A 17,293-nucleotide genomic window follows, 5' to 3' on the forward strand; every position below is an offset into this window, starting at 1 on the left:
TGGCAGCTCGGCTGGTTGCATCCCGGCCACACCCCTGCTCGCTGGGTATGGGGAGGGAGGATCTGGGAGAGAACTGGGTTTGAACACAGCAGAGGCTTCACCAGCAAAGTACAGGGGCAGGGAAGAGGGCCGGGGGCGGGGCGGCGCGCATGGCCGAGGACTGGATCACTGAGTGCAGATTGAGAAGCACAGCAGGGCAGTATGTGTGGGACTTGTGGTGTAAGGGAAGATAGTGAAGGATGGAGGATTGAGCGCACAGTGTCAGGGAAGCTGCTGGGGGCATGAGCAGGGAGGAATGCTGAGAAGAGTGGCCTTAGAACCACACAGCTAGAGGAGCTGGCGGGTCCGAGGGTGACTGTGGGAGTGGATGGCTCAGGAGGAGCAGCAGGAGAGATCATCGAAGTGGGGCGTGACGAGCTCGAGAAGCTAGCACGTTGGGTGGGCACTGAAGTCACAGAGAGTGGCGTAGGCAGTGGTGGGTGAATGGACAGGGCGCCTGGTGCTGACATCACTCATTCCTGGGGGACTGGTGCCACCAAACATCTGTGAAATTGAGCCCCGAGGGATGAGGAGGAACAGGATGCAGGGAACAGACCCCCCCGGGAGAGGTGCATGTGGCCGGGAGGGTGGGCAGGACTGGAGGCAGCAGGGACCGGGGCCCTGAGGGGCCACCCTACTCACCCTGTCCCTTTGCCCTGCAGAAGGCTGGCCTGACTACCCAGAGGAACCCCTGCTGTGCTGGCTTCAGGGACCTCAGACGTGACAGGCACCTCCAGCCTTCCCCATGTACTGAGAGAGGACCTGGTGGCCTTCTTCCCCTCTGAGGGAGGCCCAGAAATGCACTTGGTGCCCTGGCAGGGTGCAGGGCCTCCTCAGCCCTCTGAGTTTTTGCATTAATGTAGGACCCTCTGTCAGGAGTGACTCCTACTACCTCAGTCCAGGTCCAGGGTTCTCATTCAATCTATAACCATGCCCTGGTCAGTTAAAAAGGTAGAACTCAGTTACAAGAACAGTCACTAATGCATCTGCGGTAGTCATGGTCATTGACAGCTGTATTTATTATGCTTAACACTGTAAATTTAAACTAAGACAAGGATACGATGCAGTACAATGGCCATGTTCCTCTACTAGGGTGGGATTTGCCACTTAAACTTTGTGACCCACTTTTATGACATTCTCAGGGACATCAGAAGGGAGGGTGGATTTCTTGTCAGCTGTTTCAGAAGACAGGACTACCCTCCAGGCCCTCAGCTCACTTCTGACCTGCCCTCTAGTCTGCCCCTGGCTTGCTGGAGGCCAGCCACTTGGCGGCTTTTAGAGGGTCACCTCCCCATTCACTGCACATGACACTTATCCAAGGCCACCCGCACCCCAGTTTATCCCTCAGGCATCACCCCAGTTACCAGTCCCAGCCCGCTTCATCCAGTTCCCCGAGCTGACGGATTCTCTGTCATGCAATGGCAGCGAGTCTGGGAATGTAGCCTGTGGTCTGGGGCCAGGAGGGCGGCTGTGCTGATCCACCTTTCCCTGAGATGCTGACTCGCAACCCAGCCTCCAGCAGCAATGTGCATAGCTGGAACAAACATGCCAGAGAACATCCCCTTAGAAAAGTGCCTTGGGGATTTATTTGGACAGAACAAGGATCAAGTCCTAGGGCTAGGACTTCACTCTCTTCATGCACAAAACGAGAGTAATTGAGTTCTAAAGTTGACGGTACTCACATGGGATCACATTGGTGAGGTGGGCCAACGCCCTGGCCAAATGCTGGGCAAAGAGAACTGCCTGAGAAATGGAGGTAGTTATTATTTCTGTTTTTATTTTTATTTTATTTATTTATTTATTTTTGATATGGAGTCTCACTCTGTTGCCCAAGCTGGAGTGCAGCGTCACGATCTCGGCTCACTGCAAGCTCCGCCTCCTGGGTTCACGCCATTCTCCTGCCTCAGCCTCCCGAGTAGCTGGGACTACAGGTGCCTGCCACCACGCCTGGCTAATTTTTTGTTATTTTTAGTGGAGACAGGGTTTCACCATGTTAGACAGGATGGTCTCGATCTCCTGACCTCGTGATCAGCCCGCCTCGGCCTCCCAAAGTGCTGGGATTGCAAGCGTGAGCCACCAAGCCTGGCCATATTTCTGTTTTTAAAAACTGGGGTTGACTGCATGTTTCAGGAGCAGCAAGAGAGGGAACCCATCCTTCGCTTTTCCCCGTAAATGTTAATTTGACGATACACTTGTCCGTTCCGCCAGCTGTGGTGCTGATGGGACCGCACTGAATCTATGGCTGCGTTTGAGAAGTGTTGCCGTCTAATGATACTCAGTTTTCCAGTTAATGAACATGGATATCTCTCCATATATTTAGGTCTTCTGTGATTTCTTCCAATGAGATGTCTTGTAGCTCTCAGCAGACAAATGTTTCATTTCTTTTGTTAAATTTAATTCCTTAAGATTTTATCCTTTTTGATTCTAAAAGCATGGGTTTCTATAGTGGAATAAATGTGGGTTTTGGCATTGGGCACACCTGGGTGTAACTCTTACTGACCAGGTTTGTAATGCAGGGCAAGATACTGTTTTGTTTTTTTCTGAACATCTGTTTTCTCATCTTTAAAATGGGCATCATAATTCATTTCTACTTGGCTTAGTGAGATGATCACTTGGGATAACGTATGTGAAAATACACAGCACAGTGTGGTAAATACTAGTTTCCTTTCCCAGATCTACAGTAAAGCTTATCCTGACACTAAAGCACTATATCCCCTGACACAATATACCCAGAGCTGGGGGAGAAAAAAAGATCTGTTGGCTTTCACTTTTGTACTTTAAATATTTAAGATTTTTCTTATCCTTATTTTTTCTTTAGTGATGTAATTTTTATCTATTTCTAATTCTCAATTTCTATGCCTTCCCCCTCAAAATCCTCCTGGTACCTTTGAGTTTCTAGATCCAGCCTTAGTAGGCTTATTAGAGTTTTATATCTTCACAGTAGTACTAATACCATTTGCTTAATTTACTATTTCATTGCTAGCTCATATCTATCTTAGGAGATAGAATTTTATCAGAATTTTATTCTTCTGTTCTTACATATTTGAAATGAGATGATTGATGTCCAGGCCCTGTGAATCAAGTAAGTTTTTTCTGCTTCTCTCTTTTTCTTTTCTTTTGTTTGTTTGTTTATGTGTTTTTTGTTTGTTTGTTTGTTTGTTTTTGAGACAGGGTCTCTCTGTGCTGCCCAGGCTGAGTGCAGGGATGCGATCTCGGCTCACTGCAATCTTCGCCTCCCAGTTCGAGCAATTCTTGTGCCTTGGCCACACGAGTAGCTGGGACTACAGGTGTGTACCACCAAGCCCGGCTAATTTTCGTATTTTGAGTAGAGATGGGGTTTCACCATGTTGGTCAGGCTGGTCTTGAACTCCTGGCCTCAAGAGATCTGCCCACCTTGGCCTCCCAAAGGGCTGGGATTACAGGTGTGAGCCACTGTGCCTGGCCTCGGTTTCTCTTAATTTAGTATTTTCTTTTAAATCACAAATGGGCTTCTTAGATTTCAGCGCAGTTGGGGTCTTGGAAGGGATTGAACTAGTCTTCTATGTGCACTGTACTGCCCATGCCATACAGAGGGGAGGTAAGAACAGATGGAAAAGGAGCATTTCTTCACGAACCTGGGGTCTCTGCCCAAAGTTAAATGGATACAAGGGCTTCTAGGCAACCCTGGGGCCCATTGCTGTTAAAAAGAAAAACCAGGAGCTAGTGAAGAATGTCAGCTACAGGGGCTGAAGAGCAGAGCTTAGCTTATGGCCCCAGAGTGTATTTGAAGATCATGCACTATTCTGGTTTTATATGTGATCTGTGGATCCACTTCTGCCTGAAGGAGATGGAAAACAATGGCTAAGTGCTGACAGTAAAGAGCTCTTTCAACCTGGATTGTCCAGACCCATGATCTTACACTGGAATCTCAACACAGGCTGTCATATAGAGCAGACTTGGCCATCAGCCAAAGGCCTGGGCAGGTTATTTAAATAAACACTAGAATCTCACAGCCCTCATTCCAGGGTGGTTTCCCACATGCTGATCTCACAGCCCAGCCTTTAAACAAAAACAAGTCAGCTGACTTTACTGAAGTTTGACTGACACACAAAAAGCTGTGCGTGTTTAACGTATGCAACTTGAGGAGTTTGGACCTCAGTGTACACCCCTGGAGTCATCAACATACTTTGTGCCATCACTTCATCACTATTCATCACTTCCAAAAGCTTCCTCCCACCCCATTTATTTATTATTATTAGTAGTAGTATTTGTGATAAGAACACTTAACATAAGGTCTACCCTCTTAGCAAAATTATAAGTGTATATTATATAGTGTATATTATAAGTGTATATTAAAATTTTGTCCTTTAAATTTCTACGTTAGCCATAGGCGCTGAGCTGCACAGTAGCTTGCTAGGACTTTGTCATTTTGTATAACCAAAATTTTGTGCCTCTTGACCAACACCTCCCCATTCCCATCTCCCGTTCCCTGCCTCTGGCAGCCACCATTCCACTCTCTGCTGCTGTGAGTTTAACTATGTTAGATTCCTCATGTCATATATGTAGATGTGTCCTTGTGTGTAACCGTGTTCCACTTAGCATAATGTCCTTCAGGATTCCTCATGTCATGTATGTAGATGTGTTCTTGTGTGTAGCTGTGTTCACTTAGCATAATGTCCTTCAGGCTTGTCCATGTCACAGAGGTCAGGATTTCCCTCTTTCGTAAGGTTGACCAGTGTTCCGTGGCATGTACACCACCTTTTTTCCCTTCATTTGCCTATCAGTGGGCCCTTAGGCTGCTTCCATGCCTTGGCTGTTATGAAGAATGCTGCAGGGAACACGGGTGTGCGGCATCCAGATGCACAACCAGAAGCAGGATTGCCAGGTCATAGGGTGGTTCGAGTTTCCATTTTTTGAGAAACTGTTTTCCCCAGTGGCTACACCAGTCAGTAGACTCTCAGTAGGCACTAGTTTCTCCTGTTTTGTTTGTTTGTTTGTTTGTTTTGAGACGGAGTCTAGCTGTCGCAAGTGCAGGCTGGAGTGCAGTGGCACGATCTCGGCTCACTGCAAACTCTGCCTCCCAGGTTCAAGTGATTCTCCTGCCTCAGCCTCCCGAGTAGCTAGGATTACAGGTGTGCAGCATCATGCCCAGCTAATTCTTGTATTTTTAGTAGACATGGGGTTTCACCATGTTGGCCAGGCTGGTCTCGAACTCCTAACCTCAAGTGATCCAACCGCCTCAGCCTCCCAAAGTGGTGGGGTTACAGGCGTGAGCCACTGCGCTCAGCCTAGTGAAAGATGGGAATCTTTCCTGATCCAGTTCAGCCACAAGTGGTCAGAGGAGGAATAGGACATGAGGTTTTATGTTCTCATTCTCAGGCCCAGTGGCACAGTTATTTCTGGCAGTGTGGAAGGATAATTAACTCATATTCACCACCACCCTACTCTGCTACCCAGGCAAGGCTGCACTGCATACATCCATAAATGACAATTAGGATGTTTACCTATGAACATGAGAGAACTACCAACATGCGCCAACCTTTGATGGCATAAACACTTACAGCAACTAATGTGGACTAGAAGTGACATGTACGGACTGAGTCGGTCGGTACCTGTCCAGATTCACTGGCTTTGCCAAGAACCTAACTGTCCAAACAGCCATTCTCCATGCCCTGCCCGGGTAGAGGCTGCTCACTGGTGGGAGAGAAAGCAGGAAAGCAAAAGCATCCTTGGTAAGGCAAGGAGTGAACACGCTCCCATCATGTAAAAATTCTATACAACACAATGAAAATCTTTATACATAGTTCATATCAATATATGTAAGGCTGATTCCTGATTATCAGCCAAGGGAGTGGGGTAATAGATGCCTTATAAATCATGCCAGTAATTTTCACGATTCTAATGCAAATAGCTACACTGAGAAGTGCCATCACTGCTCACTCCGTACCCACTCATCTCCCCGGATTTAGTGAGAAGTGAAATGGCCCAAAGGTGGGCATCAGGAAAGGGAACCCAAAAAAGGCCACAGCCAGCCAGCCGTGTCCAGACTGTGGGTTTGCTGCCAAAGACTCCAGACTCAGTTTCTGTGCGTCTGTGTCGACAAAAGCACCAGAACTTGCTAGCATCCCTAGTCCTCTCGGTGATGGTGATGTTTGATTTATGCATGTATATCTCTCAAATGGCATTTTAAATGATGCCAAATGTGATTCCTATGTTTCTTTAAAAGTGAATAAATATAATTCACAGAAATCGTTGATAGAAAATGGCAGAAAAAATAGAAATACCTTCTATGTTGCCAAAGAAAGGATGGAGTCCTTTTCTATCGAGTGTTGTTTTCATCCTTTTTCCATGAGTTTCCACAAAACATTGGGCTGTTCAGGCATTTCAGTATCAACTTAGAGAGTTGGCTGTTTCTAGTTGGAAAACAAAAGCAGATTCTTTTCTTTCTTTCTTTCTTTCTTTCTTTCTTTCTTTCTTTCTTTCTTTCTTTCTTTCTTCTTTCTTTCTTTCTTTCTTTTTTCTTTCTCTCTCTCTCTTTCTTCTTTTTTTCCTTCTGTCTTAATTCAAGTGATGTGTGCCATGCTTGTTACAGATCGTAAAACCCAAGCGCACTGCTGTGTGCAGACACCACAGCATCTTTCTTTAGACTTGACCTCACGTCTGGCTCCACAACATGCTTAGTTAAAGCTCAGCTTTTAAAATGATGGTCCTGTCAGCCATGTCCATTGGAATATCAGTGACCTGCCTGACCAAGGAGGACACTGCAGAGTGTGGGATTTATATTTGGAAGCATGTACTGTGGAAGATTCATTCCTCATAAAGCAAAATAAATTGCATTTATGATCTTAGGCTGACAAGGTGTATGCAGAACTCTGGGGAAGCCCTGAGGGAAAGTTTTCTAACTAGTGAAGAAATATTGAAAACAGAAGTGGGGTAGCTGTCCAACTCTACCGTATAAACACTAAAAAACACAAGAAATGAAACTTGAAAAAAAGATATTTCCTCAAACTGGCAAGCATACTAAAATAATTTGAAGCTTTTAGGAAAAGAAATCTACCTATCTATCTACTTATCTACCTATGTAGATAACATCTATCTACCTATGTAGACAGCATATTTACATATTCCATCTATTTTTTTATATTATAAAGGTTATTTTGTACTTTACATATGTAGGGTGTGCTTTGCTTTGCAGATTGTACTTCTACTTATAATCTACTAAAACTCTTGAAGATGGCGATTCCTCTGGGACCTAAATGTCGTACCTGTAGCTTCCATATCCTCTGCAGCATGCACAGGGCAGTAGCCCCGGATGACAGCGAAGATAGCACGTGTGAGGTGCTCTGAGCAGCAGGAGTGGATTCCATGGATCGAATCTGTGAATCCAGTTCACGGATATCGTTGATCACCCTTCAAGCTTATTTCAGGCCCTAAGCTGTGCTGTGCCCAGCCGTTTATGTGGCTGCATTTCTGATGGGAAGCTATATAGAGTAGGGACTGGGGACAGAGGTCCCAAGGCCACACCGGCTGGGTTCAGATTCCAGCCTTGCCACTTATTAGCTGTGTGACCATCAGTGACATACTTTGCCTCTCTGTACCTCTGTTCCCTCTTCTGGAAATGGGGGTAGTTATAGAATGTCCATGTCACAGGGGGTTATTACGTATTTCATGGTAAGCTTAGTCCCTGTGCTTCCGATATTATTCATCTGTCATGCACTAGACTCTGTCTTACAGAGTTAAAGAAGCACCCACTTGTGGTGTCTCATCCAGGAGAGTTTTATGCATCAGAGCAAGTAAGGCCGGTGCCCCAGGTGTACCCACTGGGCACTCACCTCTGCAGGCCCCGAGCTGCTTCTGGCTGACACCTGTGGCCTTTTTCCTGGGGATTCTTTTCCAGCAAGGGGAGACTGCTCTGCCCATGCCAGGGCAAGCTAAGGGCCGAGAACGAATGGCCCACGAGCAGCCCTTGGCCAGTGGCGGGCAGGACGTTGCTGGGAAGATGCCCCTGTCCTGATAGCTGTGAGTGAATGTCCTATACAGTCCCCTAGACGTTCCCACAGGGCTGAGCCCCAGCCACTGGCAGCAGCAACTGGCTTAACCACACATACCCCTCACCTTCTTTCTGTTCCCTACCTTTCTTGCCCCTACCCAGTGCTTTCTGGAACCACCTCCCAAGTGCACTCAGATCCTCGTCGCAGGGCCAGCTTCTGGGAGGTCTTGGGCATCATCCTGGATGCAGGAGTCATAGCCTTGTGGAAGCAGCAGGCCTGTTCTGCGTCATCTGCTTTCTCCCCATCACTAAGTGAATCCTGTCCAGGACAAGTGGCGAGCAGGGCTTGGAGTGTCACGTGGGAGGCAGTGTCTCTTGGGAAGCATCTCTGCCTGTGCATCAGTGCTGCTCTGATTCACAGAGCATCGTCCTGGCCTCTCCAGGATGAATCATACCCCGGGCACAGACAGGAATGAATGTCAGGGAGACAGAATCTCTCAGAATCCTCACCCTTGAATCTTCCCTGCAGAGTTCTGGGAAAGAATGACTTTGAAACAATCATTTATTTGACCCTGGCAGCTATTTCAGTGACTTTTAAGCAAGCTATTTTAGTGATTTTTAAGAGTTAGTGTCATTCCATGGATGTCCCATTCAAATCTTTGTTAAGAACATGCTAATTTGCTTTTCTGGATCAAATGCACATCCTCCAAGTGCATTGCCATTTGGCTTCTGGTTAGGATGGTGTGAAGGCCTTGGGGCTGTCCTCTCTGTTAAAGGAAATAAAATACAAAGGTCACTGAAGAAGAGAAGAGTGACAGTACTGATTCATACAGTGCCTGCTGACGTGTCTGGAAAGCAGAGCGCTGACGTGGGAGTTTTGTCTTTGCATTTATGTTAATTCTGCTTTAAACTCTGGGAAATTAAGTAGATACGAACTTTGGCACAATTATGTTCAGTGATCATTCAAGATGTCATAGCATGAAGCCCATCACACTTCCAAGTTTCAAGGGCCCTTTATCTGGGATGCGTGAATGGACAGATTCATGGTCAGGGTCTCAGAAGCTTTGTGGTCTTCAGCTGAGCTTGGGAAGCAGACTGTGCCCTCATTCTTCTCATTCCTTCTTCTCTGTTGCTCCTTCCTGAGGACTGTGGGGGAAGGCAGGCGTCCCCTGCCAGAAGGCGGCTTGTAATGCCTGGAAATATAGCTGGGGATGCGTTCCTTCTGCACGGTACTTATCACGCAAGGCAGGGCGGACAGGTGGCAATATAACCAGCTAACTAAATGCACAGATGATCCTAACAAGGTGGAGGAAAAAGATCAGGAAAAATGAGATCACACCAAGAGGGAGGTGAGCACCTCAAATATATTTTGGTGTCTAGAGCTGGCTGTGTGCTCAGCAGCAGTGCTGAGAGGGAGACACAATCAGCAGCATGACTCACAGTGTCCACGCGGTAAAAATAGACCAGGGGCTCAGGAGAAGCTCGTCTACTTTTGCTCTGATACGGGATGCAGAGTTCTCATAGAAGCAATGAGCGTCACCCCCAAAATCCCCCAATGGGAATGCCTCCCCAGCCCCCCAGCGCTCCAGTCCCTCTGACCCTTTGCTAGCTTTCCACTGCTCTTATCTGCAGAACTCATTTATTGAGCTCATGATCTCAGCCCCCTGGCACTCCAATCCCCCTGACCCTGTGCTAACTTTCCTACAGCTCTTATCTGCAGAACTCACTCATTGAGCTCATGATCTGCCTCTCATCTTTAGGTCAAGTGTGAGCTTCACAAGAACACAGGCTTCTTCTGGCTGCTTCCCTGCCACCCCCAGCGCCTACTGCAGGGTGCGTACTCGGGCATGACTTGTTGAATGACTGGATTGAAGACATTTCATGAGGATTGCTGCTTACAAAGCAGATCCGTGGGATCCAGGGAGAGCAGGTTTTTTTTTTTTTTTTTTTTTGAGACGGAGTCTCACACTTTCGCCCAGGCTGTAGTACAGTGGCATGATCTTGGCTCACTGCAAGCTCCACCTCCCAGGCTCACGCCATTCTCCTGTCTCAGCCTCCTGAGTAGCTGGGACTACAGGCACCTGCCACCACGCCGACTAATTTTTTGTATTTTTAGTAGAGACAGGGCTTCACCGTGTTAGCCAGGATAGTCTTGGTCTCCTGACCTCGTGATCCGCCCGCCTCGGCCTCCCAAAGTGCTGGGATTACAGGTGTGAGCCACCGCGCCCAGCCAGGAGAGCAGTTTTATGCTTTGCGGACTTTCATTGGTGTGGCTATCTGATGGCTTGTTTCACTGCAGTGTAGATTGTGGCATAGGTAGCCCGGGGAGCAATGAAGTCGCACATAATAAAGAGACCCTATGCGTAGCAAAAAGGCTTAAAGGAACCCCTGGAAAGAAAACAGGGAAAGACAGGACAGAGATGCAGCGAAGGAAACCCAAGCCCAAACAAGCCCGACTGAGCTCCCTTGGCCCTCTCTGGATGCCACCCTCACCCTGGCTCTAGGTCTCCATCTGTGGCTCGGAGGCTGCCTGGGGGCTGGGACCTGAGGCTGTATTGTCCCTGTGGTGGAGCATGGATGTTCTTAGTTTTCAGTTTTCTTCAGAATGAATCCGGATCCAAACTTTAAAATCTGTAGCTCATGAAGAACAGCTTCTACTTCAAAGAAGGCCAGTCACGAGGGAACATAGAGAGTTGGGAGATGTCAGAGTTGAGACGGAGACTAAACGGGGGTTGGCATATGCTGGCTCTCATGAGCTACGCAAAAGCCTTTGGTCTGTGCCCCGGGAGCTGGGTCACTGAAGAATTCCTGCAGAGCTGTCACAGAATCAGTTCCCCATCTGAAAGACCCTGTGACTGCTGCAATAGCCCAGTAAGGATGTGGGGAAGCAACTAGGAAATCGTTGAAGTGGCCTGGGTGAGAGGATGGTAGCTTGGTCCAGGGTGACAAGGGGGAAGAATCAGTAGGACTTGTTGATGCTTTGATTTTCATGGAGGAGGTGGTGAACAGATCCCAGGTGTGGGGCAAGGCCAGGTGAGCCGCGGCAGGGCTGTTCACAGACGTGGTGGGTGAGGAGCCAGCAGAGGGTCTGTGCGTGTCCAGCTTGCTAGCTGAGTGGTCATCGGCACAGGGTAGGTAGGTGGCACCGCGGGCTACAGGGAGATGAGCTGGAAAAGGCTGAAGAGAGGACCTGGCAAAGAGTCATTGAGAAGTCATTGGGAAGCAGGAAAACCAGCCAAGGGTGCGCAGCCAGGGGAGCCCTGGGGAAATTCTCTCAAGGAGAAGGAAGATGCCCAGGGTGTCATATTTGTCTGAGGTCAGGCCTGGTGGGCAGAGGCGGTCATCCTCTGGACTCACTGGCGTTTAGGACCCCCTCAGCGGGGAAGAGGGGGGCTCAGAGTGGCTCCTACATATCCAAACCCCAGATCTGCCCCCCTTACTCAACCTAGCAGCTAAATTGGGGTGGATTTTAGGAATCCACATGGATTGTTCCCTTCTGGGGTTTTTGTAAATGGCACTGCAACATTTTTAATAAAATTTAAATTGCAGAGCAGACTGGGTCCTCATTCTTAGGCAATCTTAGGTGGCTTCCGCCCATATTTGCTGTCTTCATGTTTACTCCACTCGCCCAGGTCAGCTGTTTATGCTGTCTGGATGCCTCTCAGTGTTCTCCTTAGGAGACCAAGTCCTGGACATCAGGGCACAGTGGAGCTGGGACTTATTTTAGAAGATCAGAAATCCGAATATAGAAAGTGGGATGCTAGACTTTCCCCTTGCAGCACTTGAAGCAAAGTTGCAAAAAATCCTGACAATAGAGACATGCCATTAAAAGAGTTGAAGCATTTTCAGTTGTCTCATTCTCCCTATTCTGCCAAATTCTGTGGTTTGGTAGTAGCTAGATGCAGTCATGAAAACAACACTGCTAAGGGGAAATGGTTTCTTTGTAACTGGTCCAGAACATAGGTGCCAGGATGGCAGGAATCAGAGAGGAGTCACAGCAAATGCTGAACCTCCAGTGCCGACCCCAAGAGTATGACTTAGCTCCCACCAACTCTCAAGTCCTGGCCCCAGTTTATCCTAAGTGCCTTAATTTGGCACCGCCAGGTCTGGTTCATAAATAATCTCCGGGAGGAATTTCCATGAATGTGAACTCAGCTGCAGCTGAGAACATACCCATTGCCCAGGTAAGAGTCTGTCTGTCCAGCCATCCATATCCTTAGCAAGTTATAAGACAAGGGGCATGTGGAATAAGATGAGGTGAAACCTCTATCTAACTATGCCACATGCCAGGTGGCAGCACACCCACATACCCAAAAAGGGAAAGTGTGACTGTGATGCCACGTCTGAGTTGTCAGGAAACCACTCCAGGTTTAGGAGACAGAAATTCCCCCAAGCGCCAAAGAGAGGGAGAGCATGGCCACAGTCCCCCTGGTGCCACCACAGCTGAGGGTGGACAGTGCTTTGGGGATTGGCACTGTTATTTTTTTCTTTCAAAACTGAAGCAATAAGATCTCAGACTCTGAAGTTTCTCTTGAAGTCCTATTAAGGTCCACCAGAAAAGGTCCTTCTCTGGAAGCCCAGCCTGGCCCTGCTACTGGGATGGAACTGTGGCCCTGTGGGCCTAATCTGGGATGGGCCACATCTAAAATAAAAGCTCCCATGGGTTCCCTCTGGTTTATTTCAAATCCGCTGATGCAGTGGTGTCCGGGGCAGTGGCTCCTCCAGGACCTGGCAAGCCGTGTTATTGTGGTCCCAGGCAGTCCCACATCGGTTCCCAAAGCCAGGCATACCTGAGCCCTGTGGGCCCCAGTCACATGTGAGGGGCAGGTTTGAGTCACTCACACAGGCAGAGAAGCTGGGCAGTGGGCAAGAAAGCCTCGGAGCTCATTTAGTCATGAGGGGATTCTAGAATAAAGGAAGGATTTGGCAAGAGTGCCCAGGTATCTTAGATGGGCTCCCCAGAAGCCCCCTGAGATAAGGATTTGGGTGATTTGGGTGCATGTAGCTTGCATGGGAAGTGATGCCAGAAAGCACTGGAAGTGGAGTGGGAAGTGAGCTTTTAGGGAGGCTGGCCAACACACACTTCGTCATCAGCCGTTCCCAGCTGGGCAATGGGCCCCAGTCCACCTCTGAGTTACTGGTGGTCCATCCTCCACCTCTGTCCATTAAGGCTGCGACTGCTCCTGGGCTCTGACCTCCCCCCACAGCCTGCCAAGCCTGTTGCCCACAGGAGCGTGCTGCCTGCTGGCCAGAGGATGCTGCCAGGGCTTGCCCAGGGATGAGAGCTGAGACACACAGCCGGGCACCAGGAATGCCTGAACCTTTCTGATTCATCATCTATATTCTCACGTGGTTCCTGAAGGAGGAATAAATAAGACTCAATACCAATTTGTCCCTGGCTGGTGAGAACCAGGGCTTTTCCGGAAGGAGCTGTGATGAGCTCAGCACAAGGCCCCTCCTTTGTTGGAAGCTCTGTTCCTAGCCCATCCCTCTCCAGCTCCAGGAACCCAGCCCTTGCCACACTCTGCTGCGCGCCTGGAGCCGTGAATGTGGCCTGCAGAAGAGTCCCCTTGCCTGCACCTGCTTAGTAGGAAGGTGGCAGCTTCCTCCTTTGGCTGCTGAAGGTCTGTGGGTGTGGGGGAGCCTTCCCTGCTAGAGATAAGAAACTGAGCAGTATCGGGTGTGAGCAAGGCATCTGAGCTAGGCCGAGGCTCCTCCTCCATTTAACCAGAAGAGAAGCAGGCAGCAGGGGCCTCCTGCGGCCATCTGTTTCCTCCTGTCCAGGACATGCTAATGGGTACCATTTGCCCAGAATCCATGGTCCCACTCAAGGAGCTCATCTCCGAGAAGTGCTGGTGGGACAGCCAGGAGGTGCGCTGTTCCACAACCCAGGAACCTGCGCAGGGAAGCTGCCTTCCTGCAGGGAAGCACCCTCAGTGGATACAACAGTGACCTCTCAGAAGAGCCTGGGGCCCAAGAGGACCACTGCAGGCCAAACTACGAAGAAGTGTTCTGGATCTCCCCAGGTACCTAATGTGGTCTTAAAAGCATAAACCAATAAAAAAAGAAATGAAAAGTAAATTCCTGAGGAAAAGAGAAGATAAAACATAGATAAGAAAGGTGAGAAGGTTAAGAGATTAACACAAAAACATTAACCATGAGGTAAGTGGAAAATTAAAATTAAGGAGGATAATTTTTTTTTTTTTTTTTTTTTTTTTTTTGTGACAGAGTCTCACTCTGTAGCCCAGGCTGGAGTGCAGTGGCACAATCTCGGCTCACTGCAACCTCCACCTCCCGGGTTCAAGTAATTGTCCTGCCTCAGCCTCCCAAGTAGCTGAGATTACAGGCGTGCACCACTACGCCCAGCTAATTTTTGTATTTTTAGTAGAGACGGAGTTTCACCATGTTGGCCAAACTCCTGACCTCAAGTGATCTGCCCGCCTCAGCCTCCCAAAGTGCTGGGATTACAGGCGTGAGCCACCATGCCCTGCCCAGGAGGATAATATTTAAATGTCAGATAATTTCAAAGCCCCAGTGAAGAAAAACATAGGTGAAATAAAAGAGATTTTTAAACAAACGTTTAAATGAACAAACAAAAAAACTAGAGCCAAAAAATTCAGAGGAAAGCCTAGAAGTTGAAGATCAAATTTTAAAGTAAAAATAAAAACCAAATGAGCAGGCAAAAGTTAAAACAAGGCTAGGAGTTGGAAGAGCAATAAATATAGTTCTTCAGACTGATAAAAACCATGAGTGTGCACCAGCTCCCACTCCACTACCCTGCAGGCGCAGGCTGGAGTCACATGAGAACTGAAGAAAAGGGGAATAAATAGAGGTGGAAGCGGGAGGCTGAAGATGAAATCGAGGATGTTACTACCAGGTCAACAAGAAATAAAAACCCAATTGCCCAGATGCCAGGTCCCACAACCCAACACATTCATGGCGATTTAAGAAAGTAACATGGAGTCAAAAGACCATCAGTAAAAAATGTAAAGAATCCCACAGGCCTTAAACATAAACCTCCCTGCAATGAGCATTGGTTTACTGTTTGATGTCCCTTGGTCCCTGTAATTTTAGCAGAAACCCCTGATGCAGACACCTTAGTGTGAGTTTACAACCTGATGGGTTATGGGCATGTTTTATTTAGCCCCTTGAGGGATTTAGTGTACACACATGTGTGTATGTATGTATATGTGTGTGTGTATTTCAATTATTTGTGATTATAAAATAATTCTGGAGCTCCAGTTTCTCTGAACTGTTTTTCTTTTCTCTGTCTACTGGCTTATATTTTATTTCTATCATTAGATGTTACCCTTAAATTTTTAATATGCATTTCTTAATGTGCAAATTCTGGAGTTAATATTGTCCATCCTTCTTCCTAACAATACAAGGAGTTTAGAATCCCCTTGCTTTCTTATGCTATTGTTCTGTATTTCAGTTCCTTCTAACTTTTGTTCCAGTAGAATTAACCATTGTGAGTGTGGTTAGTTTTGCTGTTGTTTTCTATAGTCAATGCTCATTAAATATCACTCGTGTTCTTTACTTACTTTCCACCTTGCATCTCATTTTTACTTTGTCTGATCAGTTTTCTTTTTTTCTGGAGAATATGCTTTAGTAGCCTTAATGAATGGCTGTTAGTGGTTCATTCAGTTTTTGTACAAAGGCCTTAAGTTTTCATTTGTGAATGATAGTTTAAATAGGTGTAGAATTCTAGGATAAAATGTTCTCTCTCACAAATGCTGAAATTATTTTTGATTTCCTTAACGGTTTCTAACATAGTTTGGATGTATGTCCCCAGTCCAAATCTCATGCTGAAATGTAATCCCCAATGTTGGAGGTAGGGCCTTGTGGGAGGTGATTGGATTATGGGGGTGGTTTCTTCATGAACGGTTTAGCGCTGACCCCTTAGTGCTGCTCTCACCATAATGAGTGAGTTCTCCTGAGATCTGGTGGTTTAAAGGTGTGTGCCACCTCCCCGCTCACTCTTGTTCCTGCTTTGGCCAGGTGACCTGCCTGCTCCTCTTTTCCTTCCACCATGATTGGAAGCTTCCTGAGTCCTCCCCAGAAGCTGAGCAAATGCCAGCACCATGCTTCCTGTACAGGCTGCAAAACCATGAGCCAAATACACCTCATTTCTTTATAAATTACCTAGTATTTCTTTATAGCAATGCTAGAACAGCCTAATGCACTTTCTGTTGCTGTTGTTGAGAAACCTACTCTTGGTTTGCTTTTTTTCCTATAGGAATTTGAAATTATTTTCTCTGGGCTGGGCGCAGTGACTCACGCCTGTAATCCCAGCAGTTTGGGAGGCCAAGGCGGGCAGATCACCTGAGGTCAGGAGTTCAAGACCAGCCTGGCCAATATGGGGAAACCCCATCTGTACTTAAAAAAAAAAAAAAAGTTAGGCATGGTGGTGGGCGCCTGTAATCCCAACTACTAGGGAGGCTGAGGCAGGAGAATCTCTTGAACCCGGGAGGCAGAGGTTGCAGTGAGCCGAGATTGCGCCATTGCACTCTGGTCTGGGTGACAAGAGTGAAACTTGATCTCAAAAAAAAAAAAAAAAGAAAAGAAATATTTTTCTCTGTTTGAGATCATATTTTTGTCTTTTGTATTGTATAGTTACTACATTTAGTGTGGGATAGCTTTAATTTACCTTGTATTATGTATGTCTGAATCTGTAAATTCACATCTTTTATTAGTTCTGAGAAATTCTCAGATATCTTCAGATATTGCCTCTTCCCCATTCTCAATGTTCTCTCAGTCTAGAATTCCCAATCTATTCATCTGGATTTTCTATTAGTAGATTGGGAGACCTTCTCATTTTTATCTTCCTACCTTTTAATATGTCTTTCATAATTTCCATATTATGCTGAATTCTAGGTAGTATCATCAGTTCCATATTCCAGTTCAAGTCCCTCATCAGATATTTCAAGTTTGCTTATTAACTCATCCATCGTGTCTTAAATTCAGTAGTTATTTTTATTTCAGGAAATTCCAATTTGCCTTGTCTCTTTTAATAATGTATTTTTCCCTGTGTGGATTTGGTTTCTCCTTGTGTGCTAGAATATCTTAAAAGAGACTTACTTTATCTATCACTTGAAATTCTTGGAAAGATGCTTTCCCTGCTGACTGAGGCTCAGGGCAGGCCATTTCTTGGTAAATTTTAAAATTTTGAATGTCAACCTTTCTCCATGACACTTTAACTGAAAACTGTCATTATGCATTTCCTGAAGTGAGGATGCAGTACCAGGTACCCCTCGGAATCACTGACATGTCACCACTTTTTAT

At 46.9% G+C, this 17,293-nt stretch overlaps 1 protein-coding gene across 23 annotated transcripts in view, besides 2 other annotated features; it reads left to right on the forward strand.

The window, feature by feature from the left end:
- Nucleotides 1-17,293, forward strand: part of SYNDIG1 (synapse differentiation inducing 1) — a 196,988-nt gene that overhangs the window by 24,389 nt on the left and 155,306 nt on the right. The window lies entirely within an intron of this gene.
- Nucleotides 9,694-10,195: an enhancer, noted in NCBI's record as "H3K4me1 hESC enhancer chr20:24484347-24484848 (GRCh37/hg19 assembly coordinates)". NCBI's record gives its function as "activates a minimal SCP1, AML or CMV promoter by ChIP-STARR-seq in naive H9 embryonic stem cells {active_cell/tissue: H9 hESC(naive)}" and the evidence as "EXISTENCE:reporter gene assay evidence [ECO:0000049][PMID:30033119]".
- Nucleotides 10,196-10,695: an enhancer, noted in NCBI's record as "H3K4me1 hESC enhancer chr20:24484849-24485348 (GRCh37/hg19 assembly coordinates)". NCBI's record gives its function as "activates a minimal SCP1, AML or CMV promoter by ChIP-STARR-seq in naive H9 embryonic stem cells {active_cell/tissue: H9 hESC(naive)}" and the evidence as "EXISTENCE:reporter gene assay evidence [ECO:0000049][PMID:30033119]".

Source organism: Homo sapiens, chromosome 20, assembly GCF_000001405.40.
Source record: "Homo sapiens chromosome 20, GRCh38.p14 Primary Assembly".
NCBI lineage: Eukaryota > Metazoa > Chordata > Mammalia > Primates > Hominidae > Homo > Homo sapiens.